Below are 22,438 nucleotides of genomic sequence, written 5' to 3'. Positions count from 1 at the left end.
ATGCAGAGGAAGTCTGATCCAGAGATTTACAATGTCATCAGGGTTGCAGTTTCACTTATCTGCCATTCTCTTGGTTCTGCCCTGTTCCATGAGTAGGTTCATCCTCAGGCTACATCCAACCTTGGCAACAACGGCTGCAGCCATTCCACACCTCAAATTTCATATGACACCATTTTGAAGGAAAGAAAGGGTCTCTTTCAGTAGCTCTAGAGAAAGAAAGAGAAAACTTTTCTTTCCCAGAAGCACTCACTAGCATTATGTAACTTGCGCAGGAATGGAGGTGAGGTGGGGAGCAGTTAGGAGGATTTAAAGTAGACTAATCTAGGCCAGAAGTAGTGGCTCACGCCTGTAATCCCAGCACTTTGGGAGGTCAAGGCGAGAGGATCGCTTGAGCCTCAGAGCTCGTGACCGCCTGGGCAACATAGGCAGATGCTGTCTCTAAAAAAAAAAAAAAAAAATTAGGCAAACGTGGTGGTGTGAGCCTGTAGTATCAGATACTCGAGAGGCTGAGGTGGGAGCTCAGGAGGTCGAGGCTACAGTGAGTTGTGATTGCACTGCCACACTCCGGCCTGGGCAACAGAGAAAGACCCTGTCTCAACATAAATAAATAAATATAAAGTAGATTAAGTTAATCATGGTACCCTAGAGTTAGGAATGAGAATCCAAAGGGTTGAAAATGAGAGAAGAACATAGCCTACCAACGAAGGAAGCAAAAGGGAATGGATGGTAGCAAAGGAATTAACAAATGTCCACTCAAAACTATGTATAGATTTACACACACAAAAAAAGTTATTTAAAAGGTTACTTTTTTTTCACAAAAGTTGCTGTTCTGCTTGGTTTTGTTTTTGAGATAAGGCATCACTCTATCAACAGTAGTGTAAGGACATCCTTTGAAAGGAAAAAACAAACTATGGACCTACCCAGTACAGTGACGCCTTCATAACTCACTGCAGCATTGAATTCCTGGGCTCAACCAATCCTCCTGCCTCAGTCTCCCAAATGGCCGGGACTATAGGCACACACCACCACGTCCAGCTAATTTTTTAGTAGAGATGGGGGTCTTGCTATGTTGCCCAGGCTAGTCTCGAATTCCTATCTCAGTGATCCTCCAGTCTTCGCCTCCCAAAGTCCCAGGATTATATGCATAAGCTTCCACACCTAACCCCTGCTCTGTTTTTAAATAACAAATGTTTTTCACGACTTCTATGAGAATAAAACCTGGATATTAAGGCAAATTTACCAAAGGTCCAAATTATTTTTCCACAGGACACAGCATGAAACAAGAGCTAAAGAAGAAATGTGAGGCTGGGCATGGTGGCTCATGCCTGTAATCCCACTACTTTGGGAGGCTGAGGTGGGTGGATAATTTGAAGTCAGGCATTCAAGACTAGCCTGGCCAACATAGTGAAACCCCGTCTCTACTAAAAATACAAAAAATTAGCCGGTCAGTAGTGGTGTGCACCTGTAATACCAGCTACTCAGGAGGCTGAGGCAAGAGAATCGCTTGAGCCTGGGAGGCATAGGTTGCAGTAAGCCTAGATCATGCCACTGCACTCCAGCCTGGGCAATGGAGCGAGACTCTGCCTCAAAAAAAAAAAAAAAGTGAAATTCAAGTTAATGGCAACTTAGATAAAATAATATACTAATGAGACACAAGAGAGGTATGGAGCTGCCTGAAGACTTGTGATTTCAGATGTCAGGTAAAATCAAAAGACCCGAAGTCAAGTGTACACTGGGAGTACTTGATACATCTAGAACACCCTTTAGGTGACAAAATGCTCACAAAACAAATACTACATTGAAATCAATAAGATTTTCTTCTGTAACATTCAATTATTCTACAACCCTAAAACCTTCTAAAAATATATACCTATATGACATTCTATTCTAGAACCTCTGGCTTCTAGAAAACAAAATTTCCTTAACAAATCAAAGACTGGAATGCAGATTACATGTATATAACTAAAAATATATACATGGTATTCCCACATAGGTGGTATGCTTTTTCCTTCCTTTTCTTTTCTTTTTGAGACGGAGTTTAGCTCTCGTTGCCCAGGCTGGAGTGCAATGGCGAGATCTCGGCTCACTGCAACCTCCACCTCCCGGGTTCAAGTGATTCTCCTGCCTCAGCCTCCCGAGTAGCTGGGATTACAGGCGTCCGCCACCATGCCCAGGTAATTTTTTGTATTTTTAGTAGAGATGGGGTTTCACCACATTGGCCAGGCTGGTCGTGAACTCCTGACCTCAGGTTATCAGCCCGCCTCAGCCTCCCAAAGTGCTGGGATTACAGGCATGAGCCACTGTGCCCGGCTGAAGACTAAATTTTTAAGAAAAGGAGGATGGGTGTGGTGGCTCACGCTTGTAATCCCAGCACTTTGGGAGGCTGAGGCGGGCAGATCATGAGGTCAGGAGTTCATGACCAGCCTGGCCAACATGGTGAAACTAAAATACAAAATTACTAAAAATACTAAATTACTAAATGCTAAATTCACTATAGTGCAAAGCATTTGTATACCTAGGAGGTGCTAATTAGATACTTGTTGAAGATTAATTTTTTTTTTTAAAGATAGAGTTTCACTCTTTCACCCAGGCTAAATTACTAGATTACTGAAAATATTCTACCAAAAATACAAAAATTAGCTGGGCATGATAGCGGGCGCCTGTAATCCCAGCCACTTTGGAGGCTGAGGCATGAGAATCACTTGAACCTGGGAGGTGGGGGTTGCAGTGAGCCAAGATTACACCACTACACTCCAGCCTGGGCAAGAGTGAGAGACTCCATCTCCAAAAATAACAACAACAACAAAAAAACAAAGAAGCCATAACATGAAAGACAGAAGCAGTAGGACATATTTGGAGACTAGCAGGTAACCTAGTTGGGGTGAAGCATAAAGGCATATGAAGAAGATTTGAGGGTGATAAAGCTAAAAAGGAAGGTTAGGAAAATCAAGAGAATATTAAATGCTATGTTAGAGTCCTATAAGTAGAGTAGACATTGTGGGCTTCTGCATGGGTGACATACAGAATGATTTGAAGTCATGTATGCTATTAATGTATGTCAAAGGCCAGGCATAATGTTACTAATAGAATCTGGAACTAGCATAATAGCTGAGAAAACAGAAAAAAGGAGAAGTATGCTAAAAATTACAGAGCTGGAAGGAACAGGTGACAGTGAATAAAGAGAGATGAGGGAGAGAAGATAGCCAAATATGACTAAAGTAGGCAACAGTGCTAGATACCATTAACAAAACAACTGAAATAGGGGGAAAATGACGTTTTGAGGAAAAGACCAGTTCAATTACAAGAAGTTCTATCTGGCTGGCCGCGATGGCTCACACCTGTAATCCTAGCACTTTGAGAGGCCGAGGCGGGCAGATAACCTGAGGTCGGGAGTTTGAGACCAGCCTGACCAACACAGAGAAACCCCGTCTCTACTAAATATACAAAATTAGCCAGACATGGTGATGGGCATCTGTAATCCCAGCTACTCAGGAAGCTGAGGCAAGAGAATCACTCGAACCCGGGAGGCAGAAGTTGCGGTGAGCCGAGATTGCACCACTGCACTCCAGCCTGGATAACATGAGTGAAACTCGTCTCAAAAGAAAAGAAAAGAAAAAGAAGAGGCCAGGCGCAGTGGCTCACACCTGTAACCCCAACACTTTGGGAGGCCGAGGCGGGCGGATCACCTGAGGTCAGGAGTTCGAGACCAGCCTGGCCAACATGGTGAAACCCATCTCTACTGAAAATACAAAAATTAGCTGGGCGTGGTGGCAGGCGCCTGTAATCCCAGCTACTCAGGAGGCTGAGGCAGGAGAATCGCTTGAACCTGGGAGGCGGAGGTTGCAGTGAGCTGAGATCGCACCATTGCACTTAAGCCTGGGGGACAAGAGCGAGACTTTGTCTCAGAAAAAAAAAAAAAAGAAAAGAAAAGAAAAAGAAGAAGTTCTACTGACGCATGTGAAAAAACGTCCTAGATGTGTTTGATGTGCAGCTGGAAATGCAGATCTACACTCAGTAAAGAGAGCAAATGACTGAAGTAGATTTAAGAGTCATCAGCATCGCAGCAAGTCCAGAGGCAATAGGAGTGGATGATGCCAAGCAGGTGAGCATGGAGAAAGGAAGGATCTGAAGAGAGAACCTGGGAGACACTTGTATGTAAAGAAAAGGATGGCCGGGCACAGTGGCTCGGGTCTGTAATCCCAGCACTTTGGGAGGCTGAGGCAGGTGGATTGCTTGAGCTCAGGGGTTTGCGACCAGCCCAGGCAACATGGCAAAACCCTGTCACTATGAAAAAATACAAAAATTTGCCAGCCGTGGTGGCATCTGCCTACAGTCCCAGCTACTCAGGAGGCTGAGGTGGGAGGATCATTTGAGCCTGGGAGACAGAGGCTGCAGTGAGCCAAGATAGCCCACTGCACTCCAACCAGGGTGACAGAGTAAGACCCTGTCTCAAAAAATAGAAACAAAAAGAAAAAGAAAAGGATGTGGAATACTGAGAGGGGAAACAGGGAAGTACAGTCTTACAAAACTCAAAACTAGAGGGTTCCAAGATGGAAAGAATAACCAATAGTAACAAATAATGAAGCAAGGTAAACAAATGGGAACAATAACAAAAACAAGAAAGTTGTAAAGGCATGTGCAGCATGATATAATGGAAAATGGGAGAGGAGTTAGAGATGGACTCACATGGACTCACATACCATTTCCACCATTTCCACCATTTTCCAGCTTTACTACCTTATGCAAATTACTAAACCTGTCTATACCAGTTTCCTCATCTGTAAAATGAAATATTTAATATGGCATGTTGCATTAGAGTCTAAGGATGCAAAGTTCCAAGCCTAGTGGGAAGGCAACATTTTATTCAACCTTGAGTTAACTTCATGAGACTAAAGGCAATTTCTCAATTATTTCTGTGTTCCTGCTGTGCTTTTTTAGGAGACTCATAAATTTCTGTTAAATTATAACAGTAACAGCAAAACCTTCTACTTCATACATGGTTGAAAATGTTCAGCTATGCTTACATAAAGGAAAAAAGAAAAATAAATCAAATTTTGAAATATGTCTTCCTTTTTGGCTTATAAGTTAGAGAATATGTCTTTTATTTTTTCTGTCACCAAAGCACAGGTAATCATTTATTTCAGTTTATAGCTTTCAATATATAAAGCATGAATATATTATATTACGCTTATGGGAGAAAGAACACAATGTCAAGAGGAAGAAACCACATTATAAAATACTAAACCAAAACAGATCCCAAGTAAGCTCGTAAAGATTATCCAGCCCTCATCTTCAATGTCATAAGGTCGTGCAAATGAGGTGTTAACCCAACCAGGAGAGCCAATGACATTAGTCACAGTCCCTAAATATCTGATTAAATGGCAAATCCTGTCACAGTAAGTAGAAGGCATCTCTTTCACTAGGGGTCTCCCTAAGCCAGTTAACAAAGCAAAACACCTGGATACTGAGGAACTCTATCACAAGAAACCTTTGCTTTTCTCTGCCAGCCAATTTCTATTAGGCCTGAATGGGTAACAGGAAACTTAAACTACATAGCCTAGGAAGACTACTTGCACTTTTAAATTATTTATACCCTTACTGATTCTGCATCATTTAAAAAGAGAGAAAAGGAATCTATCCAATTCCCTAATTCTGACCACCTAAACTCAAATGAACTTCTTTCCCTTTACTCTTCTACCACCCATTCCCTGGACTTCATCATCCTCTAGTGCTGGGCAATCTGAAATGCAATATTCCCACCATTGTCCCAACTCCTATCCTTCTAGCTCTCTCACTCCCCAACCCCACTGCTCTTTGATGAAATAGGTGCTGCTAGCCTTTAACCTTCCCATCATCATCCAGTCAATCCAAACTATTGGCTTTCCTTCTTTGGGAATCCAACCTAGCTCTCACAATCCACCATTATTTCAACCACTCTTCCTGCTAAGACTCTTAAGTGTTCCAAGACAATTTCTCCTCCACTTCTCCAAAGTGATCCACTGCTCTCCTCAAACTTGCCACCCCCTACTTCTTTTATCACTTAATTATTCCTACTAACAAGCTTGTTTCTTATCTTCGCAAGAAAGCAGAGGCCACAGACCAAACTGCCCACAACTTGTCGCTCCCTTCTGTCAAATTTGTCACATTCAAACCCGGTTTTTCCTTTGTCCTTCCTCTGTCAGAAGGTAATGTGTCCTTTCTCAGATTGAAATCCTGTTCATATACTTATGCCACTGAAACTTCAGTTTTCTCAAGGACCTTCCTCTAACGAGTTTTACCTTTCTCTCCTGTATCTTTAACCTCAGTCTGCCCAGCAGCCTTTTTCTTTAATGTTGTTTCCCACAGTTCCTTTTCCAGTCCTGATATTCTCACTCTATACACACACTCTTCCTGGCCCATTTCATCCAATTCTATGGTTTCAAATATTATTTATAAACTGATACTCCTAAATTTGAAATTCCAGACTTCCCTCTTAAGTGCCAAACCATCATTTTCAAACACCTACTGGTCAGTTCCACTTGGATGTCACACATAAATCTTAATATAATGACTACTCTGCTGGGTGTGGTGGCTCACGCCTGCTATCTCAGTACTTTGGGAGGCCGAGGCGGGCAGATCACCTTAGGTCAGGAGTTCGAGACTAGGCTGGCCAACATGGTGAAACCCCGTCTCTATTAAAAATACAAAAAATTAGCCAGGTGTGGTGGCACGCGCCTGTGATCCCAGGTACTCAGGAGGCTGAGGCGGGAAAATCACTTGAACCTGGGAGGCGGAGGTTGCAGTGAGCCGAGATTGTGCCACTGTACTCCAGCCTGGCAACAGAGACTCCGTCTCAAACAATATACACACATGACTACTCATTTTCCCCCAAAACATTTCCTCCTCTTTTATTTCTTCTCTTAGTGATCCACCTAGTTTCCCAAGCCAGAAACCTGGGAGGCATCACACATTTCTCTCTCTCCATTATATAAAAGATTACCATGCCTTGGTAATTTTTACCTTTTCAATCTATACGCTCTTTCACTACTGTCTAACTCAATGCAAGCAACCTTCTGTCTATGTCCACTACTGCTTCAAAACAGAGAATCATCATTTTTTAAACTTTGCTCTCTTTGCTTCAGTCTCAATACCCTCTAATTCTTCCTACCAACTGTCAAGGCAATGTTACTAAATATCAATTTGATCATATTACTCTCTTTCAAAAAGCTCTAATGGCTCCAATCATCTTCAGTATAAAATTTATTTTACATGGAATACTAACAACGTGTGCTATTTCCTCTGCTAGGAATGACTCCCCTCCTCCAACTTCCAGGCTCAGTTAGATACCCCTCATCTGTACCTGCAAATAGGAAATAATAAGAAAGTTTTTATTCATGAAATACATAAACATAAAGCTTCAGAGTTGTCTTCCTCTAAAGGCCACTGAATATTAATCACATAGAAGTGATCATGGAAGGCTTCAAAGTAATTTTTAAAACAAAGGAAAAAATTTCATACAATATTCCCAAATTAGCTAGTACAGTTGTACTAAAAAAAGTTATACTGCTAAAACATGAAGATTTATGTATAACAACTAAGAAAAATAGAAAAAAAGAGAAAGAGGTTATTATAAAATGACAGAATAAAGCCATAGCCACTACAACAACAATTTAATATACAAAGGATAGAGTTATAAATGAAAACAGTAAGGTAGGAAAAACCATGTAGAAGTCCAAAGACAGTAAGTAAATATCAGTAAATAAAGCACTATTCTTTATCAATACTCTTTTATTGGTTTTTCTAACAGATTTGAAATCTTTAAATCCAGCTTATTATTAATTTTAAAAAAGAATTACATGGGCAGCCTGGGATACGCCTATAATCCTAGCACTTTGGGAGTAGGAGGTGGACAGATTGCCTAATCGCAGGAGTTGGAGACAAGCCTCGGCAACATGGTGAGACCCTGTCTCTACAAAAAAAATACAAAAATCAGCTGCGTGTGGTGGCATGCACCTGTAGTCCCAGCTACTCAGGGGGTTGAGGTGGGAGAATCACTTGAACCCAGGATGTCAACGCTGCAGTGAGCCAAGATCCTGCCACTGCACTTCCAGCCTAGGTGAAAGAGATCCTGTCTCAAATAAATAAATAAATAAATAAATAAATAAATAAATAAATAAAATAATAGTCAAGCACTATGGCCATAAAAGACAGAAATGACTAAAAATTTGAAATAAAGACTAAATATAAAATGTCTCTGTTAACTAGCTTCTTAGACTTTGCCTTAAAGTTTAGTTGGCAACCAAAGAGAAAAATAAAACCAAAATCCTACCAGTTTCTTGAAGAACAAAAGCCAAAATCTGGCACTCTTATTAATTTAACAGAGAAAATTTAATTCAGCCAAACTATTTCTTGAAAGTCAAACCTTTGTCCTAAAACTTCATCATAATTAGGCTAATGACTCTCTTTGTTTTAAACCTATGACACAGTCAAGATCATTTTTCAATTCCTAAAGTAGTGCCCAGTGTCATTGGGTAAGAAATCAAAAAGCTTTCATTCAACAAATTCTTATAAACACGTACCATATACAAAATTATGCATCAGAGATAATCACAAGAATTACTTTTGCTATTATCTCAAAGACTAGGTGCAATTACAAAATATCTCTCTAGCCAGTGTTCAAGTAAAAACCAATAAGCTTTTTTGTTAGTTTGTTTTGAGACAGGGTCTCCTTCTGTCTCCCAGGCTGGAGTACAGTGGCACAATCACCACTCACTGCAGCCTTGACCGCCTGGGCTCAAGGGATCCTCCAGCAGCTTCTGGCTGGGCATGGTGGTTCACACCTGTAATCCCAGCACTTTGGGAGCCAGAGGTGGGCAGATCGCTTGAACCCAGTTCAGGAGACCAGCCTGCCAAAACCCCGTCTCTACAAAAAAAAAAAAAAAAAAGGCGAAAAATTAGCCTGTCGTGGTGGTATGCACTTGTAGTCGCTGCAACTCAGGGGGCTGAGGTGGGAGAATCACCTGAGCCAGGGAGTTCGAGGTTGCAGATCGCACCACTGCACTCCAGCCTGGGCCACAGAGACCCCATTTCCAAAATCAAAAAACAAAACAAAAAAATGTAATAAATGGCAATTAAATTCCCAAGCTAGACCACAACAGCCTATAGAGGAACCACAGTTTTTGTATGAATTATTAGAACTGCGAAGTCAGTTCTACAAATTATTGTTGAAATTACAAAATAGTGTTTGATATTTTCTAAATGAGAGCATTTCTCTTATAATTAAAACAACTTAATTCTTTAAAATTCTCTAAAACAGCCTAATTCTTTAGATTTACTTGTTATAACTTTCAACAGAGGATATAAAAAAAATGAAAATCAATATCAAAACAGACTATTGACTATGTGAAATAAAACATATCGTAACAGCCATCTTTCCAAAAGTGGCACATCTGGTTTCCATCACTGGGTAATACTTTATTAAAGAAATACAAGATGGAGTTTGTTGAAAACTGATAAAACCAATGCACTTACAGAAAAGTCAATATTCCTTACAAGCCTAAAATCCAAAATTTATTGGTCAAGTTCTAATTACATAATCTTCATAATAATAAAGATATATTTAAATAAGTATGTAAATATGAAATCCCTCGGTGAATTTTTAGGGCAAAGAGTAAATGAAATTGCAGGTAAAACAAACTACATTAAATAGGAATAAAAATAAAAACAGCCGGGCGCTGTGGCTCACGCCTGTAATCCCAGCACTTTGGGAGGCCGAGGCAGGGGGATCATCTGAAGTCGGGAGTTCGAGACCCGCCTGACCAACATGGAGAAACCCTGTTTCTACTAAAAATACAAAATTAGCCGGGCCTGTTTTTGGTGGGTTTTTTTGTTTGTTTTTTTTTTTTAGAGAATTAAAATGGCATTTTAAGAGAAAAAGCAAATAGTAACCAAATGTTAAATATTTCACCTCAAGAACTATTTGGAGAATTAAATTTCCATGTATTATTTACTGGGATCTCTTTAATAATACCCTTCTGCTCTGACATCTTTCCCATACATAATATAAAACCATCCTTTAACCCTATTTTACAGCTGGAAAAAAAAACCCGAAGCTCAAAGAGGTTAAGATTTATTGCTGGAACTAAATTCAGGTGTATTCGCTCTGACTGCAAGCCCAACTTCCCACTACAGTACTGCTCATAACAAGGTTTAACATGATTATGTGGATCTTCAATATTCTTCATAAATTAGGTGGCTCTGGATAGTTTATTAACACGTCAAAGGATTGATACAGAGTTAAGCTGAATGATATATACCAGAAGGAAAATTGTTTCCAATTCAGTGATATGCCATAAACGTGAGGAGTACAGGTTTCAACAAGATGGGTGGATACTCGTTTCGGGGAGCAACAAACAAGTTTTTCAATTTTGGTTTGGCCAGTTTCAAGTAAGAAAAAGGCCAGAATAGGCTAGTGCACAGTACACCTAGCTGGATTAACTGAATAGGCTCACTTCATGAACTTCACTCCTAAACTGGGAGGACAGGAGAGGGGAGAAAATCAAAGTGCCTCAGCCCTCTCCAGTGGAAACTATAAAAAGCCCTTGTGGAACAACCCACCGACTCACAAATCTGGAAAGGTGAGGCCTGAATGAAAATTAGGACTGGAAACTGGGGTGAAGCACTGAGTCTAACAGGACCAGGCATGCTCACAGTGCCTTCTCCTGACGTCACCTGAAGCTTACCTCTTTGACAGGTGGGAATTTCTTCTTGCACTCCAGTGACAAGGCGCGCAAGTCGCTCTGCATATTCTCCAGCAGCTTCTTCACCGCCTCGGGGCTGCTGGTGCCGGACATGATCCTCCAAGGTCCCAGCCAATTTCCGAGAGGTACAAACAAGCTCTGGCACGGTCAGCTCCTTAGGGCCACAGGCAGCTCCCTCCCGGTGTCTCTGGTCCTTCAGCAGCCCGCTTCTTGGGCCCTGGGCTGCGAACCCGGAGCCTGCTCGAGCGTCCCCCAGCAGCTTCCCCGCAACACCTCTGGCTTTTCTCGGAGGCGCCCCCCGCAGTCGCACCGTCCCGCTAGGCTCCGCCGACTCTGGCCGAGAAACCCACAAGGCGGGCAGGTCCCTCCGCTGCCGCGGGGCCCAGCCACACCGGGTGTCACCAGCCAACCTGGCAAGAAGCTTCAGCGCCAGCTCCCCAGGCCCCTAAGACTCGCCGACGCCATTAGCCGAGTCGCCCACAATTCCGAGCGCTGCCGGGACACGTCAGCCGCACTTCCGGGTACCGTGGCCTCCGCCACCGCCGCGGCCAACCCCGGCGGCAGGCCGTCGGCGGGGCGGGGCTGGGGCTTGGCCATGCTCGGGGCAGGCGGGATTCCGGGTGGGCAGCGATTCCCACAGCCCCACCCCCGGAATCAAGTAGGCTAGACAGGGTTTAAGGCGTCAAGATTCGCTTCGTTTTCATTAACAAGTGCCTGAACAGAGCCCCCGAGTACTCCTTGGCATATCTCTTTGCGTATGTTTGTGTTAAATTGTATTTCGGTGTAAATAATTTGTTTCCCTGTAGATTAATCTTAACGTGTCTCCTCCCGCTTCATTTCGAATCTCTGGACTAGTGGCCCCAAATCAGTGGCTACCTCCTGTTAATATACATTTTTTTTCTTTAAACGCAACTGGTGCACTTACTGTGGGGTAGCCTCTTATTTTCCTAATCTCTAAAATGAGACTACCCTCTGCTCCACGCATTCCGCTGGCCTCCCATCTCACTCAAAGTAAAAGCCAAAATTCCTCCAATCACCTACCAGGCGCTACGAGATCTGTCCCGGCCCCTTTACTGGCAGATGCTCCCAGCTAAAAGGAGAGTTTCGCGAGTTGGGCTGCCGGTTCTTCCTCTTTTTAAATCTTATTTTGTTTCCTGTGTATCTCCAGCACCTAGAACAGTGTCTGGCATATAGCAGGTAATCAGTACATACTTGTTGAATGAATACCCTTCTATTATAAAATCAGAGTTTCGAGGCTCAAATAAGGCACAGATACATAAAAGCCTTCATCAGGTCTGAAGTGCCAAATAAATATGAGGCAAAAGCCAAACAGAAAAATCTTCATCTGTATTTCCCCAAGATCCAGGTTGGTCTACTTTTTCCCCAAGACATTTTGCAGCTGCTGGTCAGAAAGCAGAAAATGAGGGAGGAAAAACCAGAAACAGTAGAGATGAAGAAACCAACACCTTCAGACAGCTGAGCTTATGACATGATGGAAGACAGTGAGCCATGAGATTGTCAGTGGATAGCGCTGTTTGGCTGTAACAGAGCTACTTTGTAAGCTAAATAATTTTATTTTATTTTTCCTTCTGATAAGAAGCAAAGCAAGGATGGATAAAGGGGACAGATGAGGTAATAGTAGAGAGCTCCTAGGGCAGTAATTTTGATCATTTGTGCCTATTACACAACTTCTGGGAAACTTGACACCTCCTATGGTATAAGCTTTATGTATGAAAACTGGTGAATTTAGCAAAAAAGTTCAAATGGAATATATGGCAGACATTATTCTTGAGGTCTCAGGGAGCTTGTAAAAACGAGGCGCTTTTTTTGGGTGGGGGGTGGAGACGGAGTCTCACTCTGTCACTCAGGCTGGAGTGCAGTGGCGCGATCTCCACTCACTGCAACCTCCACCTCCCAGGGTCAAGCAATTCTCCTGTCTCAGCCTCCCGAGTAGCTGGGACTACAGGCGTAGGCTGCCACGCCCGGCTAATTTTTTGTATTTTAGTAGAGATGGGGTTTCACTGTGTTGCCCAGGCTGGTCTCCAACTACTGAGCTCAGGCAATCCACCTGCCTTGGCCTCCCAAAGTGCTAGGATTACAAAGGCGTGAGCCACACCGCAGGCCTTTTTGTTTGTTTGTTTGTTGTTCTTTTTAGTAGAGATGGGGTTTCAGCATGTTGGCCAGGCTGATCTGGAACTCCAGAGTACAAGTGATCCACCCACCTCGACCTCCCGAAGTGCTGGGATTACAGGCATGAGCCACCACACCTGGCCAAAAATGATGCTTTAGTAATTGGGCTAGTGATATAGGATCAAATTCTCTGACTTTCACTATGTAGCCAACTTTTCTTTTGGATTTTTTACTATTGGTAACTTTGGCATGATTAACTCAAAATCGTTAGAATCTTTTACATCTCTGTTCAGAGTTGAGGACATGCAATTGGAATTCATTGATTGAAAACAATACTTCTAATGATTTGAAAAGCCAAATTTTAAAAGTAAGGTGTAGCACCTGGGTGCGGTGGCTCACACCCATAATCCCAACAATTTGGGAGGCCGAGGCGGGTGGCTCACCTGAGGTCAGGCGTTGGAGACCAACCTGACCAACAAGGCGGAACCCCGTCTCTACTAAAAATACAAAAATTAGCCAGGCGTGGTCACAGGCACCTGTAGTCCCAGCTACTTGGGAGGCTGAGACAGAAGAATTGCTTGAACCCAGGAGACAGAGGTTGCAGTGAACGGGGATGACACCACTGCACTCCAGCCTGGGCGAGGGAGTGAGACTCTGTCTCAAAAAAAAAAATAATAAAATAAAATAATAATGTGTAGCAAGTACTTATATCAAGTATTCTGTAAATTTCTTTTAAAAAAATACACAATAGCCTTTTATGTACATATGCCAAGAGAGATTATACTGCCCCAGAAACAATGCATGGCTTTATGCCAAAGCCAAGCAAGTTACCAAAGGTAAAAATAATTTTTTATTCTACAAGTTAACAAATCAGCTAAAGTTAAGAGTTAGCATTTCAAAAAACTGAATAATTTCTCTTTCAATAGCAAAACCAAATATTCAAATACATATTTTTGTTCTCAAGTATCTCAAGAAATACTTTCAAAATTGTAGCATACCTATAAATGTCGGTGTGGGTATAAAACTCCTCCGTGGCTACCAAATCTCTCTTCATTGAAAATTACATTAATAAATGCCTGATAAATTTAACCATTTATTACCATAAGTAATGCTTTCACAGCATTGTTACATGGTAGTTAGGCTTCAGACTCTGAAGTTGGAAAGCTCTAGTTTGAATCTGAGTTCTGCTGGTTACTACCTGGGTGACTCTAGCACATTATTTAACTATCGGGGGAACCCACCCCCAATATTTCAGTGTAGGTTCTTTCTATTTCTATAAGTGTCGGCCGGCTGAGAAATAGAGAAAGAGTACAAAGAGAGGAATTTTACAGCTGGGTCTCTGGGGCTGGAATCATATATCCGTAGGACCATGATGCCCACCTGAGCCTTAGAACCAGCAGGTTTTTATTAAGGGTTTCAAAAGGGGAGGGGGTGTACAAACGGGGAGTAGGTCACAAAGATCACATGCTTCAAAGGGCAAAAAGGAGAACAAAGATCACATGCTTCTGAGGAAACAGGACCAGGGCAAAATCAGAAACTCCTGATAAGGGTCTGTGTTCAGTGGTGTACGTATTGTCTTGGTAAACATCTTAACAGAAAACAGGGTTCGAGAGCAGAGAACCAGTCTGACCTCAAATTTACCAGGGTGGGGTTTTTCCCCACCCTAGTAAGCCTGAGGGTACTGCAGGAGACCAGGGCGTATTTCAGTCCTTATCTCAACCGCATAAGACAGATACTCCCAGAGCAGCTGTTTATAGACCTCCCCCAGTGAATGCAATTCTTTTCCTAGAGTATTAATATTAATATTCCTTGCTAGGAAAATAATTTAGCAATATCTTCCCTACTTGCACGTTCGTTTATAGGCTCCCTGCAAGAAGAAAAATATGGCTCTTTTTGCCCGACCCCACAGGCAGTCAGACCTTATGGTTGTCTTCTGTTGTTCCCTAAAATCGCTGTTATTCTGTTCTTTTTCAAGGTGCACTGATTTCATATTGTTCAAATGCACATGTTTTACAATCAATTTGTACAGTTAACACAATTATCATAGTGGCCTGAGGTGACATACATCCTCAGCTTACGAAGATAACAGGATTAAGAGATTAAAGTAAGACAGGTGTAAGAAATTATGAAAGTATTATTTGGGAACTGGTAAATGTCCATAAAATCTTCACAATTATGGTCCTCTGCCATGGCTCCAGCTGGTCCCTCCATTCAGGGTCCCTGACTTCCCGCAACATTTAGCCTTTCTAATCTTCACCAATCTTTACTACTTAACCTCTCCATAGCTTTAAAAGAAGAAAACAAAAGTGCCTTCTTCATGGGATAGTTGTGAGGTTAAATGAAATATTGTAGGTAAAGCATGCCTGGCACACATTAGCTTTGAGTAAACGTTTTAAATAGGTGGTAGAAAAGAGAACTCTTAAATTTGTAGTCATCACTAATGCCATCTTGTATTAACTTCTAACAGAATTATCAGTGAGTTTTGTCCTAGTGTTTAACCTTCTAGTTGAAAATTAGGAAATCCATGTCTTTTTCTGAGCCCTTGTTATGAATCTTTTAGAAAATATATCTATTTAACAATGAGTATATATTTACATGTAATAAGAAAATTTGTCTAATGTCATTCTGAAATATCTTAGTTTAATGATGAAATACAAATATTATTCAATCTACCTTTCTAGTTGTTCAGTCCCTCTGATTTTATCACATTTACTTATTCTCCTCTTAGACTTTTCTTTCACCTACTCCTCAATTATTAGTGTTTCCCAGAATTCTATTCTCTGCTGTCTTCCCCACCCTCACTTGCTTGTCTTCTTTATTCTCTTTGATCCTTTGCACACCAATGGCTTCAATTACTGCCAATCTATTGATATCACCCTGTATAACCTCCGTGTTGATACATATCAATAGAAGGTGCAGATTAGCAGAAATACCACCACACAGACACCACTTGGGTTTACTTTATCTAAAGGATACATAAAGGAATTAGTTGCAATATCAGCCAAGAGATGAAAGTGCAAGTTTCTAAGCCTTCCAAATACTCAGACCTTCTGGAATGCATAACATCAGACCTTCTGGAAACTTAACTTTCTCTTCCAGTCCTAGCCTTATATACATAAAGCTGGACTAGTCCTATACATAGCCCCTTCCCTAGAGACCACTTCACCTAGACATGGTAGATGATCAATCACAGAGTAATACAATACACAATATGATAGCTAGGATACAGTTTAGAGGATATTCAGATATGAACAAATTATTTATTCTAAGCTTTCCTAGGCTAACACAGTCTAGTTTAGTGTATTCCTGAATTTAGTATGGTGAGAATAAAACATGAAACTGTAGTCTTAATATCTCTGAAAGCTATGATGTTGAGAGGTGTCAGTGTGCTGGCAGCCCTCACAGCCCTCGCTGACTCTCAGCGCCTCCTCTGCCTGGGCTCCCACTTTGGCAGCACTTGAGGAGCCCTTCAGCCCGCCGCTGATCGGTGGGAGCCTCTTTCTGGGCTGGCCGAGGTCGGACCCGGCTCCCTCAGCTTGCAGGGAGGTGTGGAGGGAGAGGCGTGAGCTGGAACCAGGGCTGCGTGTGGCACTTGCGGGCCAGCTGGAATTCCGGGTGGGCATGGGCTCGGTGGGCCCCACACTGGGAGCCGCTAGCCGGCCCTGCCGGCCCTGGCCAGTGAGGGGCTTAGCACCTGGGCCAGCAGCTGCTGTGCTCGACTTCTTGCCGGGCCTTAGCTGCCTCCCCACGGGGCAGGGCTCAGGACCTGCAGCCCGCCATGCCTGAGCCTCGCCCCACCCCACCGTGGGCTCCTGTGCAGCCTGAGCCTCCCCAACGAGCACCGCCCCCTGCTCCACTGCGCCCAGTCCCATCGACCACCCAAGGGCTGAGGAGTGCCGGCGCACACGCGGGACTAGCAGGCAGCTCCACCTGCGGCCCTGGTGCGAGATCCACTGGGTGAAGCCAGCTGGGCTTCTGAGTCTGGTGAGGACTTGGAGAACCTTTATGTCTAGCTAGGGGATTGTAAATACACCAACTGGCACTCTGTATCTAGCTCAAGGTTTGTAAACACACCAATCAGCACCCTGTGTCTAGCTCAGGGTTTGTGAATGCACCAATCAACACCCTGTATCTAGCCACTCCGGTGGGAACTTGGAGAACCTTTATGTTGACACTCTGTATCTAGCTAATCTAGTGGGGACATAGAGAACCTTTGTGTCTAGCTCAGGGATTGTAAGCGCACCAATCAGCACCCTATTAAAACAGACCACTCGGCTCTCTGTAAAATGGAACAATCAGCAGGATGTGGGTGGGGCCAGATAAGAGAATAAAAGCAGGCTGTCCAAGCCAGCAGTGGCAACCCGCTGGGGTCCCCTTCCACACTGTGGAAGCTTTGTTCTTTTGCTCTTTGCAATAAATCTTGCTGCTGCTCACTCTTTGGGTCCACACTGCCTTTATAAGCTGTAACACTCACCGTGAAGGTCTGCAGCTTCACTCCTGAAGCCAGCCAGACCACGAACCCACCGGGAGGAACGAACAACTCCAGACGCGCCACCTTAAGAGCTGTAACACTCACAGCGAAGGTCTACGGCTTCACTCCTGAAGCCAGCGAGACCACGAACCCACCAGAAGGAAGAAACTCCGAACACATCCGAACATCAGAAGGAACAAACTCCGGACACACCGCCTTTAAGAACTGTAACACTCACTGCGAGGGTCCGCGGCTTCATTCTTGAAGTCAGTGAGACCAAGAACCTACCAATTCTGGACACAATGTCAAGCCCTTATACACACTTATAATTACAGAGCTCTTGTCTGAGATCCAGACATGAATATTCAACTGGTTATTGGACATCTTTACCTTTAAGTCTCATTGACACCTCATATTCCTCCCCAAAAAGGAGTTGATCCTCTTCATACATTACCTTTCTCAATGAAAAGCATCACCATCCATCTGGTTGCCCATATCAAGAAACTAAGAGTCAAACTTGACTCTTCCTTCTCCCTCATCCATTACATCTATGCTGAATCAAGTTCTGTTGATTCTTCCTCCTTCATAACTTTCAAATCCATCCCACTTTTCTCCACTATCACTAACTTGGTTCAGGCATTTACATAGATCACACACACCAAATAAACACCCTCTCCATTTACAATAGGGCACATTCTGAGTAAATGACTCTGTGACTTCACTTCATTCTCTTCATTTACGTAGAATATTCGCCAAGTACCAATGGGAAACCTCTAGAGTATTGAAACCCCAGAAAATTCTGTAAGCGGGGCTCTTGAGCCTATGCTCCAGCCCACTCCCACACTGTGGAGTGTACTTTCCTTCTCAATAAATCCCTGCTTTTGCTTTTCTGGTTTCGTTTGTGCATTTTGTCCAATTCTTTGTTCAAGATGCCAAGAACCTGGACAGCTTTTACTGGTAAAACAATGAGCCATGATCATATCACTACACTCTAGCCTGGGCAACAAAATGAAACCCTGTTTCAAAAAAAAAAAAAAAAAAAAAGGGAGGGAGGGGAAGATCTGATAAAGTTAGAGGCCTGTCTCTTTCCTTAATCTATTTTCTGAACATCTTTTTTTTTTTTGAGACGTTGTTTCACCCTTGATGCACAGGCTGGAGTGCAATGGCGTGATCTCAGCTCACCGCAACCTCCGCCTCCCAGGTTCAAGCAATTCTCCTGCTTCAGCCTCCCTAGTAGCTGGGATTACGGGCATGTGCCACCACGCCCGGCTAATTTTGTATTTTTAGTAGAGACAGGGTTTCTCCATATTGGTCAGGCTGGTCTTGAACTCCCAACCTCAGGTGCTCCGCCCACCTCAGCCTCCCAGAGTGCTGGGATTACAGGCATGAGCCACCGTGCCTGGCCTATTTTCTGAACATCTTGATTGGAACCTTCCTTTCAGATTGGTTATTTGTTTAGAAAGAAAGAACTTTAGGTTTGTCATAGCACTACTCAGTACATATCCCTATATGATAACACATATTCTATTTAATTGTAACATTGTCTGTCTCCCTGCTACACTACGAGTTCTTCAGTGGAAAGGCCCTTGTGTTACTCATAGCTATATTCCTGGCAACTGGTGTGTGTTTGTGTGTGTGTACACACACACAGACTAAAACAGTTGTTTCAGTTACACGGATTCTTGTTCTTGATCACAGAGGAGCGAAGGTACAGAGAAAGTTATCAAGGCAAGAATTTGAGCAAAGGAAAACACTAGTGGACTGGGATATACATGTTAGGCAACTTGTTCCCACAGAGGAGACTCAATAAATCTTGAAGTGAGTGCCATCATGTACCTGCCACGGTACATCTTATCCCAAATAGCTGCTTCCTTACCTCAAGAAATATTTGTTGAGTGAATGGAATGCTGCAACTAAGATAAGCTTTCTGCCTTTGGAGTTTAAGACCACAACTGTAAAAATACTAAGCCATTGTGAAAACAACTGTACATGGCATATGGTGTTTGCCAAAAGTAAATGTCTTAAATCTTTGAAATAAAGTTTGAATCACAACCAATAATTATTCTTAAGATCAGTGAATTCGCCTGGCATGGCGGCTCATGCCTGTAATCCCAGCACTTTGGGAGGCCGAGGCAGGTGGATCATGAGGTCAGGAGTTCACCACCAGCCTGGCCAACATGGCAAAACCCTGTCTCTACCAAAAAAATACAAAAATTAGCTGGGTGTGGTGGTGCACCCCTGTAATCCTAGCTACTCAGGAGGCTGAGGCAGGAGAATCACTTGAACCCAGAAGGCAGAGGTTGCAGTGAGCCGAGATAGCACCACTACACTCCAGCCTGGGCGACAGAGCAAGACTCTGTCTCAAAAAAAAAAAAAAAAAAATCAGTGAAGTCAATGTAAAATTCCTAGCATAGTGTTTGGAACACGACTGGTGCACAGAAATTATTAGCTCCTTATTGTCTTAATACAGAGCCAAGAGTAGACAGTGAATGTTTTCCTTCACTACATTTATGTACTGATTATTGTATCTTTTTATTGTAAGACATTTTTGAGGATCTGGTTTTATTTTTTAAAATTATTGGCAAGGCCAGACCTCAGTCAAAATGTGGAGTAGGTAGTTCCCAAGGCTCATTACCCTTCACAGAAACACCAAAAAATGAACAAAAACTGTCAGAATCCGCTTCTCCAGAATCTGGAAAATAGTCAAAGGTTTATAGCAACCAAGTGAACACTGAATTAAGAAAATGACTTAAGCCAGCAGGAGAGCTTTGTGGCATTTAACTTAGCTTTGCCTCACTCACATTCCCAGAATAATAGCAGGTCTTCTAGATGGCAATCTACATTCCTGCTGGGGATATCTGGTTCTGAATGAAATAGAGTGGACCTTCTTTCAAAGAATTGTGTTTGTTAGCTGCAATATGTCTGGGAGTTCCCTAAAGGACTGAAAAACAGGATTGCCTTTATTTCGCCTTACTCAGAACTCTTTCGGGGCAGAAAAATGGCTAAGTGAGGGCATTCTTCAAAAACATTTAAAGGCACATAAACAAGCTTAGGAATCCCTCTCTTGAACGTATATAATATACATATTTAGACTATGAACTGCCAGATTGCTTTACAGAATGGACAAATATGTCTGGTCTTTCACCAGCAGCACTAGGTCCCTGTATCTCCACATTTCCACCAACACTTGGGAAAATTAGATTTTCTACTGTGTGTCAATCTAATGGTATAAAATCTCACTGTTTTAATTTGTATTTTATTACTAATGATTTTGTGCATGTTTTCATGTATGTGTTAAGATTTGGGTTTCTTCTTCTGTGAATTGCCCATTATCATTTGTCCATATTTCTATTGTATTTTCTTGTTGTTAATTTGGAAGCATTTATCATATGTTCTAGGTATCAGTGCCTCTTTAGCATTAGACAGTATAAATGATTTCTCCTAATTTGCTATGTGTTTGTTAACTTTTTTCATAAAGTCCTTTGTTGAAAGGAAATCCTTAATTTTATAAAGTCAAACCTTATTCCAAGTCTTGGGACAGAAATTTTCATTGTTTTTTTGCATCATTCCTTCATCTTAAGGTTTGTGCTTTCTGGTAGTCTTCTCTAACTTTCAACTTTTCTCAAGTTGTTTAAGTTGAAAAGCCATGAGCCATGAGTTTGCATTATATAGATTTAATTTTACCAGCCTGTTCATGGATTTCAAAGAGAGAGGCACTTTACCAGTTTATATGATGTTTTTGAATAGCCTCTCTCAGTACCACACCAAACCCATTAACAAAGCTGGTACCTAATCAGACACCATGCAGTCAATCAGGAATAGGCCCAAATGAACCTTCCCAATGTTTTTTAAGCAGTGACTATAATCAGAGACTGATTTGTCTCTTTATTATCTGCACCCTTGAAACTTTGACCAGTCTATTTTAGATAGCAAGGCCATAGGGTAGGAATCTTTACTTTACTTAGCTTCATGATAGGTGATGGGTGTACTTTGATTTAATTATAAGTCTTCATTGACTCGGGCCCATTTAGCCTTAGATAAGGAGGCATCTCCAGGACCCACAACAAGTTTGAATGGTTGGTAAATCTCTGGAAGCCCTAGATAATATGCCCCTAAACCTAATTTGTGTAGAAAACGTCTCTGTTTTCTTATGGGTCAGGGAAGTCCTCTGTTATAGAGGACAGATAGAGACCAATGGTTTAAAATGACTTATTGAGGAGGGGCAATTGAGATCCTTCAACTTTCCTTCCTTGAGGCCTTGAGGTCTGAGTACCAAGAGAGTAGGGCCAACTTCTCAAGTAACTACAGGAAACTGGGGGCCAGAAAAGTAGTTATAGGTCTGGGGAGAAGTGGGTAGACAAGGAGGTCCAGGCCGTAGCAGAGAGAGAGACAGGAAGGGGTTGGAGAAGCAGATTGATAAGAAGAGGGAAAGGAGAAAGGAGTGAGTGTTTCTGAGGTTAGAGTAGATGAAGGAGTAATAATTGAGGAGGACAAATGATCCTTGAGAGATTGAATAGCTTTAGATAAAGAATATTGAGAATGTTCATGACTTGATTAAGGTTAGACTGAGGCTAAGTGTGGTGGCTCACACCTGTAATCCTAGCACTTTGGGAGGCTGAGGTGGAAGGAATGCTTGAGCCAGGAGTTTGAGACCCACCTGGGCAATATGGCAAGACCCTGTCTCTACAAAAAATACAAAAAGATTAGCCAGGCATGGTGGCACACACCTGTAGTCACAGCTACTTGGGAGGCTGAGCTGGGAGGATTGCTTGAATTCAGGAATTCAGGACTACAGTGAGCTGTGATGGCACCACTGCACTCCAGCTTGGATAACAGGGCGAGACCCTATCTGATATGGTTTGGCCATGTCTCCACCCAAATCTCATCTTGAATTGTACTCCCATAATTCCCACATGTTGTGGGAGGGACCTACTGGGAGATAATTGAATCATGGGAGTGGTTTCCCCCATACTGTTCTCGTGCTAGTGAATAAGTCTCACCAGATCTGATAGTTTTGTCAGGGGTTTCTGCTTTTGTCTTCCTCATTCTCTCTTTGCCTGCCGCCATCCATGTAAGACATGACTTGCTTCTCCTTGCC

The 22,438-nt window shown here is 42.6% G+C and overlaps 1 protein-coding gene across 14 annotated transcripts in view, besides 4 other annotated features; it reads right to left on the bottom strand.

Annotated features, from left to right (window-relative positions):
• Positions 1-11,214, bottom strand: part of MON2 (MON2 regulator of endosome-to-Golgi trafficking) — a 133,651-nt gene extending 122,437 nt beyond the window's left edge. For 10 of the 14 annotated variants that reach the window (XM_017019044.2, XM_017019041.2, XM_017019042.2 and 7 more), the window contains exon 1: positions 10,722-11,214. Coding sequence is in view for 9 of the 14 variants with exons in the window: in XM_017019041.2 (XP_016874530.1) it covers positions 10,722-10,832 (111 nt within the window). In the remaining 5 variants the exon portion in view is untranslated. Of the gene's footprint in view, positions 1-7,261; positions 7,340-10,721 lie in introns of all 14 variants that reach the window. The other 4 variants (XM_017019045.2, XM_047428542.1, XM_017019043.2 and 1 more) reach the window with 1 other exon arrangement.
• Positions 8,389-8,889: an enhancer, noted in NCBI's record as "H3K4me1 hESC enhancer chr12:62862931-62863431 (GRCh37/hg19 assembly coordinates)". NCBI's record gives its function as "activates a minimal SCP1, AML or CMV promoter by ChIP-STARR-seq in primed H9 embryonic stem cells {active_cell/tissue: H9 hESC(primed)}" and the evidence as "EXISTENCE:reporter gene assay evidence [ECO:0000049][PMID:30033119]".
• Positions 10,558-11,057: an enhancer, noted in NCBI's record as "H3K27ac hESC enhancer chr12:62860763-62861262 (GRCh37/hg19 assembly coordinates)". NCBI's record gives its function as "activates a minimal SCP1, AML or CMV promoter by ChIP-STARR-seq in naive H9 embryonic stem cells {active_cell/tissue: H9 hESC(naive)}" and the evidence as "EXISTENCE:reporter gene assay evidence [ECO:0000049][PMID:30033119]".
• Positions 11,053-11,162: an enhancer, noted in NCBI's record as "active region_6581". NCBI's record gives its function as "activates an Ori minimal core promoter by ATAC-STARR-seq in GM12878 lymphoblastoid cells {active_cell/tissue: GM12878}" and the evidence as "EXISTENCE:reporter gene assay evidence [ECO:0000049][PMID:35858748]".
• Positions 11,193-11,512: a silencer, noted in NCBI's record as "silent region_4607". NCBI's record gives its function as "represses an Ori minimal core promoter by ATAC-STARR-seq in GM12878 lymphoblastoid cells {active_cell/tissue: GM12878}" and the evidence as "EXISTENCE:reporter gene assay evidence [ECO:0000049][PMID:35858748]".

Source organism: Homo sapiens, chromosome 12 (assembly GCF_000001405.40).
Source record: "Homo sapiens chromosome 12, GRCh38.p14 Primary Assembly".
NCBI classification, from domain to species: Eukaryota; Metazoa; Chordata; class Mammalia; order Primates; family Hominidae; genus Homo; species Homo sapiens.
This window is presented reverse-complemented; position numbering and strand designations above follow the sequence as displayed.